The 16,982-nt window shown below is 51.9% G+C and overlaps 2 annotated features.

Annotated features, from left to right (window-relative positions):
• Positions 3,568–4,068: an enhancer, noted in NCBI's record as "H3K4me1 hESC enhancer chr5:172011659-172012159 (GRCh37/hg19 assembly coordinates)". NCBI's record gives its function as "activates a minimal SCP1, AML or CMV promoter by ChIP-STARR-seq in primed H9 embryonic stem cells {active_cell/tissue: H9 hESC(primed)}" and the evidence as "EXISTENCE:reporter gene assay evidence [ECO:0000049][PMID:30033119]".
• Positions 12,197–12,944: an enhancer, noted in NCBI's record as "H3K4me1 hESC enhancer chr5:172002783-172003530 (GRCh37/hg19 assembly coordinates)". NCBI's record gives its function as "activates a minimal SCP1, AML or CMV promoter by ChIP-STARR-seq in naive H9 embryonic stem cells {active_cell/tissue: H9 hESC(naive)}" and the evidence as "EXISTENCE:reporter gene assay evidence [ECO:0000049][PMID:30033119]".

The raw sequence follows: 16,982 nt of genomic DNA, 5'->3' as shown, positions 1-16,982 counted from the left end.
CAGACCCCTGCTGGGAAGGGTTTGGGATCTGGAGTCAGGCCCCACCTCCAGCTGGTGCTCCTGGCAGCCCCTTGCCTGGCATGGAGGACCTCTCTGACGCCGGCTGTCCACTGCACGGCTGGGATCAGCGCTCTTCCCTAGGGATAGGACCCTGGTCCCTACTGCCAGCCCCTAACTGGGATTGCCCTCAATAGGTCACAAGCCCTGGCACTGTGCCCCACTCCCTTGCTCCCCCAGCTAAGCCCCATCTCCAGCCTGAGTCCCTGGTTCATCTAGACAGTTCCTCTGCATAGCAGAATGCCTTGCTAGGTCCTCTACCATCTTCTGGGGTGTGGGTAGAGATCAACCCAGCTGTACCCCAGTGGACAGCAGCAGCAGCTGTGTGGGTTTTACCCCAGTCTCAGCATCCTCCAACTGCCCCCATCAGACATAATGGGCTCTGGAGTTGGACAAACCTGGACACAAATCCTGTCTTGGGCATGTACCACCTGTATGGCTTTGAGCAACTTATTGTTCTTTCCTGAGCTTCATTCTCCTCATCTGCGAAACAGACTCCTCTCAAAGCTATGAGGAGGGTTAGCTGAGCTAATGGGAGTGAAGAATGCAGCACAGTGCATAGTTTCTCCCGAATCAATGGTAGCTCATGGGGTTTCCACTTGGGGTGATGAAAAGTTCTGGAACTGGATAGTAGGCATTGTATGACATTGTGCATGTCTTTAATGCCACTGAACTGTACACTTTAACACAGTTGAGAGGGCAATTTTTATGTTATATGCATTTTACTACAATCGATCAATCAATCAGTCAATCAGTCAGTCAGTCCATCAGTGGCAGCTTCCTTCCCATCTATTCCAGAGCTCTTTATGCTTTGGCCTATCCAGGTTTAATATTTTCATGTCTTTGCCTACTCTTCCACATCCAGATACTCCTTAGAAAAGTGCTCTGACCTTAGAGTTGAGACATCTTGTCTTTTCCTCTTCTTGGAAGGCTCAGAACCCCAGAGACCTTCCATAGAGCAGGCCAGGGAAGGGAGGGACCAGAGGAGACAGGGCTGACCATCCCCCATGATTCGAGCTCCGTAACTATAGTTGGCACCTGGGAGGGAGGAACAACTGGCCCAGGAGTTTGGAAGGAATCCTTCATCTCTCTGGGGTGTTGGGGGTCAGCAGCTGAGGCCCTCCTCGGTCTGTAGCTAAGCCTGGACTGGTGAGCTCCCCCACTCAGCCTCCTCGACCACAAGCCCCTCAGGGCAACCTGCTCGCTCTAAATTCATCATCACCCCTATCCCAGCTGCCTCTTCCCTTTTCTGGGATTCCAAAACCGGGGAGCAGCACCTAAGTCTATTCAGCTGTCCAAGCCAGAGACCCAGAGCCCAGAACCCTCCTTCTCCCCACTTCTGACTTTCCTCCAGACACTCAGGAGCCCAGAATTCTCTGCCCAAACTTCCAGGGCCCGCACAGAGGACCGAGTTCCACCTCCTGAGAGTGGACTGCACCACTGATGTGTGCATCAAGCTGCCTCCAGAGGGTGGGAGATGGGGTCCAGGCCCCGCCTCCTGCTCAGGAAGGCTGGGTGGCGAGGGCTGGAGGAAACAAGCACATCTTTTTGCCCGAGGACGGATGATGGAAGTGTGGGCTAGGTCCACTGTGTGTGTGTTGCCGGGGGGGCAAAGAGAGGGGTGAGCCTGCTTCCACTCCCCAGAAACAGAGGGGTGAGCCTGCTTCCACTCCCCAGAAACAGACGGGTGAGCCTGCTTCCACTCCCCAGAGGGGACTTGTTTCCTCCAGCCCCCACCACCCAGCCTTCCTGCGCAGGAGGCAGGGCCTGGGCCCCATCCCGCACCCTCCAGAGGGCAGCTTTCCGTCACTCCCTAAGTGTTTAATCCCATGTTCCCAGTACATCTGCCACACCACTTCTCTCTGTGCCTTCTGTGGTGTGGAGCCAGGGCTTCCAACCAGTGAGGCCTGAGGCTTAGCTTGATGCCAACTAGGAGGTCTCCTGCTAAGAAAGAGAACGAGGGCGGTCGATCTGGCCAGCAGGGCTGAAGTGGAGCCACCCAGGGCAAGGCCCACACCTCAGCTTCCTCTGGAGACCAGAGAGCAGCTGCTGGACCTCAGATCTTACTCCGCCTTCCCCAGCCTCGCTCTTCCTCATACAACTGGTCAAGCCGCACCCCACCCCATCCCCAGCCCCCACCCTTACTCGCCCCCTGGCTCCCCAATCTCTCTGCCCTGGTCAACCTCTCCCAGCCATCCTCCACCCTGCAGCCGGAATGAGCTCTCCAAAACGCAAGCTTTCTCCGTGCTGACAGTGCCAGGGGCTCCAATCGCTGTCTGGATAACGCCCAGATTCCTCGCAGGACCCAGCTGACACCTCCCACCTCGCCCTGCCTCACTGTTTGCTATAGCAAACAGCTCACGTTTTCCTTCTCAGGGCGAGCCGGTTCCTACTTTTGTGCCCTTGCATGACACCTCCTCCACCTGCCTTTTCACCTGCAAATTCTCCTTCATTCACATCCATCAAGACCTGCAAGGTGAATCTTAATAGCATCCCTGATAGAATAATACCCAAGAAGCAGCTCCATCGAAGGAGGTGGTTTCAAGTAATAACACAAAGAAGCAACTCTATCCTTTGACGGCCCTGGGTGCAGATCTCCAGTGTGATGTTTATTGGCTTCGTGACCTGGGACAAGGTACTTAACATCTCTGAATCTATATCTTCACCTGTAAAGCAGGACCAAAATATTGACCTATAGGGAAGTGATGAGATTGACATTAACAAGAAAGGAAGTGAGCAAGGCTAAGACGATATCAGTCGTATTTTCTGCATCAAGAAGGACACATAGGTAGTGCATCTCAATTTTAATAGGGAAGATCTAATCCAGGCTTGAAAAACAATGAGAACATACACTGTATTTCATCGGGTGAAATAAGCAGGTCCCAATGGTGTGCACAGGATGACTGAATTTTTGCATAAATAATGACATATTTTTGTAGAGAGGGAATAATATTTAGGAGACATCCCAAAAGGTTAGAGTTGTTATCTCTGGGTAATGCAACTTTTTAACAATTTTATTTTTATCTCTTTTTTCTTTTGTTTATCTCTGTTTTTGCCTACAAATTCCCTATGATTTCCTACCCAAGTTGTTGTGGGTAGAATTGTGTGCTCAAAAGCCAGGTGGAAGTCCTAACCTCTGATACGTGTGAGTGTGATCCCACTTGGAAATTGTCATCTTTTCCCATGTAATCACATTAAGATGGAAATCATACTTGATTAGGGTGGGCCATAATCCAATATGACTGGTCTCCTTGTAAGAAGAGGAGAGACACAGGGACACACAGGGAGAACGCTGTGTGACCATGGAGGCAGAGATTGGAGCAATGTGTCACCAAGCCAAGGATGCCAAGGTTTGTCAGCAACACTAACAGCTAAGAGGGCGGGGAGGAAGGATTCTCTCCTGGGGCTTTCAGAAGGAGCACAGCCCTGCCGACTCCTTGATTTCACACTTCCCGGTTCTCTAGAATGGCGAGAGAATTAATTCCTGCTCTAGGCCACCCAGCTTTTATAATTTGTTGTGGCAGCCACAGGAAATTAATATAAAGAGCAAGCCTTACTTATGTACTAGAAAGGGCCAAGGGTTTAAAAAAGAAAAAGAGGAGGAGGAAGAGGAGAGTGCCCCGATCAAGAGTGCTCCCTGGAGGGCTGGAAGTGTCTGCTCAGGACTCGGCGCAGATGTGTAGTGAGTGTTTGTTGAGTGAATAAATATGCCTGCAGTATGTGACATCGTCTTGTCTCTGTCCTGTCTCCCCACGGATCTCACTCTAGCCCAAAGCTGCCTGTCATGAAGGAGCTCCCTAGCGAGACTGGAAGCACAGCTGGGCTTCACGCACAGGCCCAGCCCTCAGCTCTGAGGCTGCCATGGGGGAAGCAGGGAAGGACCTGAAGGACTCTAGGTCAACAGCTCTATCCCCATCAACTTTGTCAGGGTCCCTGTGTGATGATGCCATGCCCTCGGCCGCATACCCAGCTTCTTATTCTTTGTGACCAAGCCACACCTTGTCATTGATCAGATCTTTGTGCTGCTTCCAAAGCAATCTACCTAAAACTCAGGTTAGACCCTGCCATGCCCTCCTAAAGACCTTTGGCGGCTCCCCCATTCCTCGACACAGCATTCACGGCCACCATCTATTTCAAGCCATTTTGGGGCTTGCCTGTCAACTCCCCACCTCCAGCCCCTCTTGCTGCCTTCTCCCCCAGCAATCCCACATGCTCAACCTCTGCCCCGGGGGCCTGCCTGCCCTCCCACCTTCTCTAATCTCAGCACTGCCCAGGCCTCCCAGCAGAGTGGAAATGTCATTCAGGGGGACTGTGGAGAGCACGGTGTCCCTGGCTCTCCTTCCAGGAAGAGGGAACAGAGGGAGGGCTTTTCTGGAATGTTTCCAGGCCTATCCTTCTTAGCTGGACAGGGACTCTATCTGCAGCAGGGGAAGAAACAGCAGATGTCTTCTGCTCCTCTGAGTGACCTAGTCAGCCTTGAAGAATCACAGGAAATGGCTCTTGGGACTTGCTAATGAGCTTTGGACGTCTTCCCTCTGTCCTGGCAGTGTTGGGTGGGGAGAGCTTCTGGGTCCCACTTGTTGGCCTTTCTCCTACTTTCCAAATGCCTCCTTCCTTTTCCTCCTCCAGGAGGTGGGAGGTGCGATGCCGAGCCCCACGTAGTGAGGGGAAGCCCTGGCAGAGGAAGCCTGTTTGTTCTCCAGCTTGGGCTCGCTGTAAACAAATTTCTTTTTCCTGATTAGGTCACACTCTTGAGCAGGGTTTTCGGGACACCTTGACTTGGTCAGGGGCTACTTGCCTCTAAGGAACAGAAAACCCAGTCAAAATAACTGAAATTAGTGGGAGACTGGGAAAGGTCATGGAACCCAAGGGGAACCACCAAGCCTCAAGAGGAAGAACCATCAGACACAAAGCAAGAAGCAAACTGTCAGACGCAAAGGGGATGCTCACTCTGTCCCTCCTTGGCCCACCTCTCTTCCGTCATCACCATTTTTTCTGATTTGCTTTGGAGATCAGCTCCCTCTGTTTGCTCATGAGGGTCCCCAAATGGCTGTCCTCAAATGGCAGTCTTCCTTCCCAAACCTTACAGATCCCCCAGGCCCAGCCAACTAATCTAGTCTCTTCCTCTGTGGGAGCAAGAATGACCATCACGACCCGACAGCAAACTTGTGGAGCCCCAGTGATGTGCCAGCCACTGGTCCAAGGTCTTTATGTGAGTTTTCTCATGTAATTCTCAAAATAACCTTACAAGGCAAGTTGTATTGTCATCCTTACTTATGAAGATAATAAACAAGGACACAGAAGCTAGGAGGGGTTAACTTGCCCAGGATCACCTAGTTAATGGGTAAGGAAGTTGGGGTTTGAACCCAGGTTGCTGGGCTCCAAGGTCTGAGCTCTGAAATGAATTGGCCTGACCCAGTGTCTGGATTGGGTCTCCCTGGATCAGGTGTCCCTCCCCGGCCCAATCAGCAATGGCGGCAGGATGGGTTTAGGGGTGTCACAGAACACTCCCGGGCTGTGGGAGAAGGAGGGGACATGGCACTCTTCTGGAATGTAAGCTCCTCCGTGGCTGCGATTTTTTTTGTCCTGTGCCTTGTTGCACTCGGTGCCTAGAACAGTTCCTGGCACACAGTAGGTGCTCAGCAAATGTTTGCTGAATGAATGAATGAACTTCAAGTATCTTGGACTTATCCCTGGCAGATGAAGAGGGAGAGTTGGACATAGCCTTATTTGGGCCACCTGTGACCATCTCACCCTTCCAAGAAAAAAAAAAGATACATTTTATTGGTGTCTGGTCATGGGGAGAAAACAACCCCAGCCCTGGTCCTCTCTCCTCCGCAGGGAGCCTCCTCCTCACTAGTTTAATCCGACAGCACCACCCAGAAGTTCTGCTCAGAGCGATGCCGCTGGATGTTAGTAGCCATCCATGCCAAGGGCCCTGGTTCTATATGTGGACACTGTGGTGTCTGGTTCAATGTATTTTCACTCAGCACCTTCAATGGCTTAATGAGCTCTGTGCCTTACATGTGGTTCTTCCCCAAGATATTTGACCACGAAACCCTCTTTTCCAAAGGCATCTCATGGGACTAGTAGTTTGAACAATACATTTTGAGAAATAAAAATTTGATCAGTTTTGTTGCCTAATTTCATTTGCTCATTGGAACTGGGTTTAAGTTCCTATTGCATGCCGGGTAAGAAAGTCTCTGTTTCTCCCCAGTCCCTCCAGTTCCTTTGGAAGGGCTTACAAGGGCTTCTAGGGTGAGACCCTTCCCCAGGCTCCCTCTCCCACCTACCTTCATTAACCTCATTTGTTGAAAATCTCCCCCAAAGCCCTTGCACCCTCAGGTCTCCTTCTCGGCCTCTAGTTGGTCGCCGGGATGGAGCTTCTCCTCCCACACTCCGGCTGTCTGGCCCCAGCCCCTTTCTTTCACTTCGTGGTTTAAAATGCAATTATAGTACATTTCCCTGAATGGGTTCTAGGCAGAATATTAAGCTTGAAAACAATTGCAGTAGATTGCATTAATCATTTTCATTTCGTTTTGCAAATCTGGAGGTTGGGACCTTAGCTTGGGATATGTCAGTGAAAGGAAATTAGGCAGCATCTCATCAGTTAATGGATTTCTTTGGTGCTAGGTAGGTGGCTTGTGCTTGCTCCAAAAACCCCCCTTTGGGTTCCTATCAGCTGCCTGACACATGGTATAATCTTCCAGAACTTTCCGAGGCATGTCCTTGGACTTGGCTACTCTTCCTTTTTTAAGAAGGGAATACATTCTTATAAAAAAAATTATTATTATCAAAAACTGTTTTGTTGTGTTTGTTTGTCCTTCATCACTTGTGCCAAGCAAAAATGACAGTCTGAGTGTCCCAGCCTTTCCCTTCCCCAGCCACTAAAGACCGTCTGGCTTGGATGTCTTGTCTTTGTGTCTCCAGACCCCCTGTCCCTCCCCACCCTGCTCAATGCCACACTGTTCTCCCTTTTAGCTTCCAGTCGGGTTGCCCAGTGGGCAGTGCTGGAGGCTGGAGGGAAGGAGGGAGGAGAGAGGTCAATCTTTTATTTCCTTGGTTTCCAGCAACCTCTAGGTTTGGGTCAGTTGCTCCCTCCTCTCTTCCCTTTCAGGCCTAGGGTGGTCTCTGTGGTTTTTGGCACCTTTCCAAATAGTCGCCACGTTAACCCCTCCTTGGGAGACTGGAGTTCCTTGTCCCATCTGTTGTCTGGGCCCTGCACTGAAAGGGGCAGTCAGGTTCTTCCCCTTCCGTCCTAGGAAGGATCTACTATCCTCAGTTCTTTGGGGGTGTTGATGATGCAGATTTGGAAGAACAGGGGAGGGGATGGACCTGGAGGCTCTGCAGGTATGGAGGCAACAGATGGAAGAGGAAAGAGAGACTTTAAGAAAAGTTGTTAGGAACCAGGAATTCCCATCATGGTGTTTGCGAAATACAAATTGGAGCCAGGCAAGGTGGCTCATGCCTGTAATCCCAGCACTCTGGGAGGCCGAGATGGGCAGACTGCTTGAACTCAGGAATTTGAGACCAGCCTGGACAACATGGTCAAACCCCATCTCTACAAAAAATACAAAAGTTAGCTGGGCATGGTGGCGTGCATCTATAATCCCAGCTACAAGGGAGGCTGAGGTGGAAGGATGGCTTGAGCCCGGGAGGCAGAGGTTGCAGTGAGCTGAGATCGCACCACTGCACTCCAGCCTGGGTAACAGAGCCAGACCCTGCCTCAAACGACAACAACGACAAACAAACAGAAAAACCCCAAGAAATATAAGTCGAGAGGTTCAGCTACTCTGAGCACCCTTTCTGAGGCTGCACTGGGTTTCTCTGACCTCATCAGCAAGCCTGGATCTTATGGGCATGGCCTCAGCATGCAAATCTCCAGGTTTAGCTATCTTGTGGCCTCTTCGGAACGGCTGCATCTCTAAACCTTGAATCTATTTATCCTATCACTACCAAAATAGAAACCCCCCAAAACTACATAGACCTTCCAAGAGGGCCTGAGACAAATTCCCAGGCTTCAAGGCAACCCAGTGAGAGCTTGGCAAAGGAAGTGTCTCACCACTTCCGTGCCTAAAAGAAAATCCCTCCAAACCCCGCATCCAGGCAGAGGATGTGTTTGCTGTCCCCTTGCAGAAGATTAGGGTTAAAATACCTTAGGACCCAATTGTGCTCTGCACCCTGCCCTGGGCACCAGGGAATCAGATGATGCAGACAGAGCCCCTGCTCTCCAGGAGCAGCTGGGGAGATGGGCATCCCTAGAAGACGGTGACGCAGCAGACAGCACAGTGGGGGATGATAGGGAAGCACCATGAAAGGCCTTGGAGGCTTCCTGGAGGATGACAGGACCCCCCTTCCATAGGGGGTACCAATGCCAAGTCTTACAGAGAAGCAAGGGTTGGTGGACGCAGGGACAGGGAAGTGGAAAGGCCATTCTAGGTGTCTGAGGAGTAGGCAGAAGGCACAACAAAAATAAAGGCTTGAGGCTAGAATGGCATGGGTGTACAAGAAGCTAAGCAGGTCAGTGTTGCTGGCATGTCATATGGGAGGCAGGGCATGTACAGGTAGGAAGCCGGAGAGCCAGGCAGGCCAGGTCCCAGGGGGCTTTGGCTGTCATGCCCCTATGACATGGCTGTGAGTCTGTGGGCTCCCAGGCAGTTACTAGAAGGGTCAGGTGGGAGAATGACAAGGTGTGGATTGGGAGGATCACTGGGGGCTCTAGGGATGGGGCATCTGAGAGGAAGCCCTGAAAGCAGGGGTCCAGCCAGCAGGCTGCTGCCCACACCAGGGGAGAGGAGGGCTGGCCTCCTATTCTCCAGGCAGGCATCTGGATGCCAGCCAAGCTGTGCCAAGAGCACTGGTAACACTGCGCTGCTCAGAGTCGGGCACTGCACCCCAGCCTCACTTGGCAGCAGGTGAGGATGGAGGTGAGTGGGGGCGGTGTGGTGTAGGGCAGCCAGACAGAGCTCCCCCTTGGTGGCCTGCTTGTGGGTGGCCACTTCCCATGGTATCTGATATCTTCTGGGTTGGGTGGCCCTTGGCTGGGAGGTCAGCAGGGTTGCGAAGGTCTCTGTCTGCCTTCACATGTTCTGTCTGCCAGAAATTTCTGACAACTCCCAGATAGGGCTTTTGGCCCATGGAGGCAGGACAGATTTCTGGCTATAGCCATGGGCCCCAGTGTTGTTTCCTTTGGGAAGCTGTACTGGGGATGTCAGACACAGAAGCTGTGTGCTGGCATAACTTCCTCTCCATCCCTTCCACGCAGGTCACGATGGGGACTGACTCCAGCAAGAAAGGGCTGACTGATGCAGATCCTGCTCTGCAGACCCAGAATTGGAGGTGTGGAGGCCTCGAGCTGGAGGAATTGGAGGTGTGGAGGCCTCGAGCTGGAGGAATTGGAGGTGTGGAGGCCTCGAGCTGGAGGAATTGGAGGTGCGGAGGCCTCGAGCTGGAAGCAGCAGGAGCAAAGGCATGAAGTTCCAGAGTAGAGGGAGGTGGGGGCCATGACGAGCCATGAGTGGGCCACAAGGAAGCAGGAGCCACGAGAGAAAAGGGCAGCGAGTAGGGAGGGGAGCAATAAAATGAGGGGAGCCAGAGTCCAGCAGGGAGAGCTCAGCACGCCCGAGTGGGGCAGAAGAAGGGACATTGACCACCCCCAGAGGTCCCTCAAAGCTAACCCCATCCCCACAGGCAGGACTCCGCCATATGTGAGCATCCCCATGATCCTCTGTGTATTTCTCAACAAATCCCCATCACCCTGGGACCAACGGAGCCAAAGCAGGTGTGTTGCGGGTAGCTTTCCACCTTCGGATCCCAGGCCCTGCCTGTGTCTGCACAGGTTGGGACACCCCACCCTCCAGTTCCATTTATGCCTCAGTCCCAGACTTCAGGGATTGAAGGACACTTGGTGGCCTCTAGGACAGCACTTCCCAGGTGTGGGCCATGAGAGGATTTTAGGGGGCAAGGAGAAGGCTTTTCTTTAAACATTTAAAATGTATGCATTGGCCAGGTGCAGTGTCTCACGCCTGTAATCCCAGCACTTTGGGAGGCCAAGGTGGGTGGATCACAAGGTCAAGAGATCAAGACCATCCTAACCAACATAGTGAAACCCCGTCTCTACTAAAAACGCAAAAATTAGCTGGGCATGGTGGTGGGTGCCTGTAGTCCCAGTTACTTGGGAGGCTGAGGCAGGAGAATCACCTGAACCCAGGAGACAGAGGTTGCAGTGAGCCGAGATCGTGCCACTGCACTCCAGCCTGGCGACAGAGCGAGACTCCATCTCAAAAAAAACAAAAAGTATGCATTAATTTTAAGACGCATTAGAAAAATCACATAACTAGCCTGTCGTATACATGCTTTCAAGATAGAGTTTATAATGAGGATGGATTTAATTAAGTTTTTTTAAAAAGGAGATAATAAAAAGGTAAGTGTTAAGTGTCAGTGCAAGTGGAGGGCTGATTAGTGATGGTTGAACTTGAAAACTGACACTTACGGAAAACTGCTCCTGGATGGTCCTTTTCTCTCTACCATACTTCAGGCAGGAGCCTTGAATTCTTCTCAAAATGAGCATCTCACTACAGATAAGGCAGCTGTGGCCCTCTGTAGATCCAAGAATCTGACTTACCCTGGCCCCCAAGTTTGGCTCCACAAACATACACTATCCTGTCTGGCGCACCTGGTGCTGGACTTTGTGCTGGGGATGTGCAGTTGAAAAGGTCACAGCTCTGCCTCTTTGTCCCATGCCTTTGTCTCTTCGAAGCTTCCGTTTCCCATCTGTAAAGTGAGGATGCACCCCTTAAATCAGGAAAGCTCCTGGCTTTCCTGGTAGGTGATCAATAAATGCTCCTTCCCTTTTCCTTGACCCCCTTGCCAAGTTCTTTCTTGTGCAACACAAAGAATGGATGTCATAAAAAGAGTACAGTGTTAGAGACTTCTTGGATAGCTGCGTGACCTTAGGCAGGTCACTCAACCTCTCTGAGCCTCAGATTCCCCATCTATAAAGTGGGGATAACAATATCACCTGTTGCACATTTATGTGGATAAAATGAGGTGTTATTTGCAAAGCACCAAACACAATATTTGTTCAAACTTCCCCCTTAAAAACTCTTCTTGTCTGAACAGAGCCTGCCTTTCTGTAGCTCTCTCTCAGGGCCAAGCTGTGGATAAGCGCAGGGTAGCCCAGCAACGAAGAAGGCTGACCCTTCTGGGAACTGCTCATCCTTTGTGTTCTTTTGTTTTTTGTTTCTTGTTTTTTTTTTGAGACGGAGTTTCACTCTTGTTGCCCAGGCTGGAGTGCAATGGCGTGATCTCAGCTCATTGCAACCTCCGCCTCCCAGGTTCAAGTGATTCTCCTGCCTCAGCTTCCCAAGTAGCTGGGACTACAGGGATGCATCACCAGGTCCGGCTGATTTTGTATTTTTAGTAGAGATGGGGTTTCACCATGTTGGTCAGGCTGGTCTCGAAGTCCTGATCTCAAGTGATCCACCTGCCTCAGCCTTCCAAAGTGCTGGGATTACAGGCGTGAGCCACCGCATCTGGCCCCTTTGTGTTCTTTTTCTCTTGTAGTTCAAAGTCCTCTCCCACTCCTCTTGGGCCCCTTAAGTCCCACTCAGTCTCTGACCCTCACCCTACTCTTTCATCAGCAGCTGGATCATGGGGTAGGCTGACTCTGCATGGCCAAGCCAAAAGCTGCCACCTCCACCCAAGCCCACCTTGGCTCTCTCCCCATTGTGCCTCCCTCTCCCTCCTCTTTTAGGCCTTCCTGCTTTCAGAAGCTACCTCCAGACAACAGTCTTTTTTTTTTTTTTTTTTTTTTTTTTTTTTTTTTGAGACGGAGTCTCACTCTGTCACTCAGGCTGGAGTGCAGTGGCACGATCTCGGCTCACTGCAAGCTCCGCCTCCCGGGTTCACACCATTCTCTTGCCTCAGCCTCCCGAGTAGCTGGGACTACAGGCGCCCGCCACCACGCCCGGCTAATTTTTTGTACTTTTAGTAGAGACGGAGTTTCACCGTGTTAGCCAGGATGGTCTCGATCACAACAGTCATTTTTTAATACTCCCCACCCTGCTGGTAGGAGATCCTACTGCATCCTGATGACAGAACCAATGAGGTTCTATAAAGTCAGTGGGACTGTAAACCCATCAGCTCCAGTCTATGACAGACAAAATACAAGGTCTGCCCCCACAACTGAGAGCCCTGCTTCCCTCTGCCCTTTGGATGTCATTGGAGATGAGTGCTCTGAGCTTGCAGGCATCTGGAATCCCCTTCTAATGGTGTCTTTGTTCTGTTTATTCCACATGTCATGGACAACTAAGTAGAGTGTTCCTCTCACTTTCTGGAGCCCTGGCACTGTGTCCAGCACTGAGGATCCAATCAGGAAATGTCTGTGGAAGGGAGGGAGGGAAGTCTGGTAACAATGGCATCTGCATGATGGCCAGCCTTCTTTCATCTCTGGTTGCCATTTACTTTCTTTGCAAGGGACTCCCTTGGGCAGCACTCTGGCCAGTTCTAGAAATGCACGTGGGGGCCACGGCCTAGGGCCTGCGCCTGAGTCCCCCACCTCTTCAGCATTGCTTGCACAACGCTCAAGTGTCCCAATGCGTTCCTGGGTCACATGGCTGGGGGACATACCCCCTGTGGGGCTAGTGCCATGTGCTGTGGCTGCAAACACAGGGCATCTTTGCGAGATCATCCAGATAACAGCGGCAGCCAGCTCTTCAAACGTGCCAGGCCCAGGGCCCACAGCCATCTTCCCACACGTTCTCACAGCAACCCCTCGAGGGAGGAATCCATGCTGATGAGGAAATTGAAGTTCAGAGAGGCAGGGAGACTGCTCAAAGTCACACAGCAGCAAGCACTGAGAATGGATTTGAACTCCTGTCTGCCTGATTCTCAAGTCAGGCCTCTTGATCCCATGCTGTGCTGCAAATGGGGCTGACTGAGAAGGGACATAGGCACTTCCCACTGCGCATGGGCGACAGCTAGGGGCTGGCATACAGTGTCCTCAGTGCGTCCCGATTAGGGGACAGAGGTTGAGAAGTCTACTCGTGGGGCAGGGATGGACAGAGCCCGAGTGGCCCAAGGCCCACTGGATAAGCAGAGGTCCAGCTGCAGAGAGGGCTTAGGGGGAAAGGGTGGACAGAAAAGGCCCTGTGGCCCAGGCTGGGTCAGAAAGCCTGTGATCTGGGGTCCAGTTGTGCCTCTTTCCAGCTGTGTGCCACTGGGCACGTTACCTCCCATCTCGCTGCCTCTGCTTCAACATCTGCACAGCAGGAAAGTTGTGGAGGACTAGCACCTCTGTCCAAAAGTACCTGGAGGGGGTCTGGCTGGAGGACAGGCCCGGCCAAGCCTGTGCCCTCTCCCTTCCTTCCCTCTCTATGTCCATTCTCCCTCCCTCCCTTTCTTCTCTCCCTTTACCTCCCTTCCTTTATTTTCTCCCTCTCCAACCCCCTTTTTGGAAATTCCTTTTCAGAGGCTTTGCAGAGACCCAGTCCTCCTTCCAGGGTGATCTCAGTGCTCCCAGTGGAGCACTGACTCTGAGGCCACCTTTCAAGGGGTTTGGGGGGTGGGGTGGTGCCCTGGGGGCCCCTCCCAGGTGCTCTGGCAGCCACAGAGACCGCCTTCCAGCAGGGCCAGAAAAAGCAGGGCTCCCAATCCCCCACAGACTAAACCTAGCAACAGCCAGGGTTCCTATGGCAACCCACAATTTATTTTTAGTCGTACTTTAACATTAACATGATGTGAGGGGATCTGAGACTTATATTACTCGCTTTTAAACAGTGCCCAAAAAAAGGAAAGAAAAAGGAAAGAAAAAAAGAAAAGAAAGAACGTCTCTTTGGAAGGAGGCATTGGCCAATGGGGGAGGGGAGAGGAGACAACAAATCCCCAGTGGTATCTGCAGGGAACTGATCTTGGAGAAAAGCAGCAACTCTTTTTCTCTGGTGTAGCCAACTGGGCTTCAGGATACTCAGGCCACAAGGAGGAAGAGGGGCTGTGAGTGGGGTCAGCCTAACCCACACAGAAACAGCAGCAGCCCTCCCTTCCTCAGCTTCGTGGCCAGAGTTGGAGAAGAACATAAAATAGTCCACTCATTTTGTGAAGGACCACTGAGCTTCCAAGTGAACAAGCAAGGGAAAGGGAGAGAGGGAGAAGAAAAGAAAGAAAGGAAGGGAGGGAGGGAGGGAGGGGAAGGAGAGGAAGGATGGAAGGAAGGAAAGAAGGAAGGGAGGGAGGGAAGGATAGATGGAAAGAAGGAAGGAAGGAAGGGAAGGAAAGATGGAAAGAAGGAGGGAAGGAAGGAAAGGAAACATGGAAGGAAGGAAGGAAAGAAGGAAGGAAGGAAAGGAAAGATGGAAGAAAGGAAGGAAGGATCAACCATGAAGCCAAGTAACCATGTGACCTGGGATGCCAGCCTCTGGGATTCCAGCCCGACCTCGGGGACTCAGAAGGAAAGAAGGGCTGGCGTCCGCCTACCAGCCAGAGGACACAGCAGTCCCGGGAGCAGTGCCTAGAAGAAGGCAGGGCACAGGCAGGCAGAGAGCAGAGGGTGGGTTCAGATGGAGGCCGTGGAGAGGACACTGGACGCTGGCTGTAAAGACGTGTCAGCCCATGCTCTGTGACCAGCCCCATAGCAGGCATCGGGGCCGTGGAGATGTGGGGTCTAGTCCTATCTGGAGAAACTCGCATTTGGGGGAAGAGGATGTGGAGACAAATAATCCAGAGGCAGCTTGGAACATGCATATGCCTGTGCAAGGTAGGTTACGCACAGAAACGAAGAAGCATCTGAGCTGGTTCTGGGTTTTCAGTTGTTTCGCTTGGGCTTTTTTCTGGCCAGGGAGGGCTGCTTATTCCCCTGGTCCTAGATGGCACTCCTCTGGTCAGAGGCCTGGCCACTTAAAATACTGCATCCTCGGCCAGCGTGATTGGCTCAAGGAATGGGCACATGACCCAAGCACAACCAATCAGAGCCTTCCCTGGGACTAAGCTACAGATATCGGGAGACAGCGGCTCTCCCTCTTCTGGGTTGCTGGGCCGGGGCTTCTGAGAGCCTCAGTCTTGGCCTCCTGGAGGCAGCACAGCAACAGGAGGAGAAAGAAGGCCGACGGCAAAGAGAAGCAGAGACAGACAGAATGTTGACTGACGGGCACCCACATGCTTCCTTTGCTGCTGGGCCCTTTGACGGGAGCCTCTTCAGTTTTCTTTTAAGCCAATTTGAGTTGGCTTCTGTCCCTGACAGTAGAACCAACCTGACTAATTCAGTTGGTCACTGTGATTTTGCTCACATGAGGGGACAGTAGCGCCTTCTGAAGGAGAAAGAAAGGAAGGCTGCTTCCTGCACCTGCTATGAATCAGCACCATGCCAGTGACTTGCAGATCTTTTTCAGAGCTAATCTTCACGGCCTTCTTGGAAATTCAATATTAGCGTAATATTACCTGCAAGAAGCCTGGGGCACAGACAGCAAATGATTAGCCTAAGGGCACACAGCCAGCAATGCCAGAGCAGGGCTGACCCCCAGGCCTTCCTGACTCCTGGCTGAGCTACACCATCTTTCCTTCCCAACTCTGGAGTAGCGGCCCCAGGACAGGTTGTCTGGGTGTAGCCTGCGATTCCCAAAGCGTAATCCTTGGACAACGCCCATGGGAAGCACCTGGTGCTGAATAAAAACAGATTCCTAGGCTCAAGATCTCTCTCCAGCCTCCATTCTGACCCCCTAACACCATCATCCCTACCCCAGCAGCCTGTGTCCCCAGCAAGCTGTTCCCTAAACACTGCATGAGCTCTCTGGTTACTGTGCCTTTGCTGGTGACCACCCTCTTTGTCCACCAACTGGGCTGACCTGTTACCTTCCTCACCTCAGTTTCCTGTGACTCTTCAACATCCCCCTCCCCAACAAAAACATGCACAAGGCTGGCCCCTCACCCTGGCAGAATCTATGCCTCCCTGCCCTGGCCTCATACAACACCCCTCCCCAGCCCCCTGTCCTGGCCCCATTCTTGTGCCTCTGGGTCTCGGCATGTTGTCTGTCCTCAGCCTCGCTCCCTCCCACCCAGCTGGAAATTCTAAGACAGCAGGTCCTAGCAGGGAGCCTGGCAGACAACATGCATCTCTGCATGGCCAGGCTGCCTCTGACTCTGTTTCTCGGAAAGGGCTGAAATCCTCTACTTCTAATGCTGCATCTTTTAAAGGGTTAACTTCATTCACATTTTATTTATTTATTTTTTAATGTAGGAAGACAGCTTCGCATGGGGCTAAGCACAGAGAACACCCAGGCCTCTGGCTGGTGTGACTTCTGTGACCCCTGGGCAAATGACCCTCCCTCTCTGTGCCTCAGTTCTCTCATCTGGAGATGGGGAGAATAACAGCACCTTATAGGGTTGTGGTGAGGAGAAAGTGAAGTGGTGCCTGTCAAATGTCAGCTTTCATCACTGTCGCTTCACGGGAGCCAAGACATGGCTGGTAACCCCCAGAATTCCCACAGGGACACAACTTTAGACATTATCTCATTTAATCCTCTAGATAAGCATAAGCATCAGAAACATTACTATCATTATTTAACAGTTGGCAAATCTAAGGAACAGAGAGGTCAAGTGACTTGTCCAAGGCCACACAGCCTACAAGAGGAAGAGCTGCGATTTGAACACGTTTGTGGTTGAGCACAAACTTTGACGTTACACAGATGTGACTTCAGATTCTGGCTCCGTTCCTCGCTAGCTTTATGATTAAGACAATGCATTTCACTTAACTGAGATGAACTGAGATCCGCCACAGGGGGTCCGTTAGCTCCAACTTGAGTGTAAATCCTGGCTCAACAATAGTTGCTTTCCACCACAATGAGCTACCTCCCAGCTGCAAGGCATGCGGAACTCAAGATGGCTCCCTTCTCATGGAAACCCTTGAGTCCTAGGGTTTTCCAAGCTTCCTTCCC

Source organism: Homo sapiens, chromosome 5, assembly GCF_000001405.40.
Source record: "Homo sapiens chromosome 5, GRCh38.p14 Primary Assembly".
Taxonomy (NCBI): domain Eukaryota; kingdom Metazoa; phylum Chordata; class Mammalia; order Primates; family Hominidae; genus Homo; species Homo sapiens.
The sequence above is the reverse complement of the archived record's forward strand: the minus strand, read 5'-3'. Positions and strand labels throughout refer to the sequence as shown.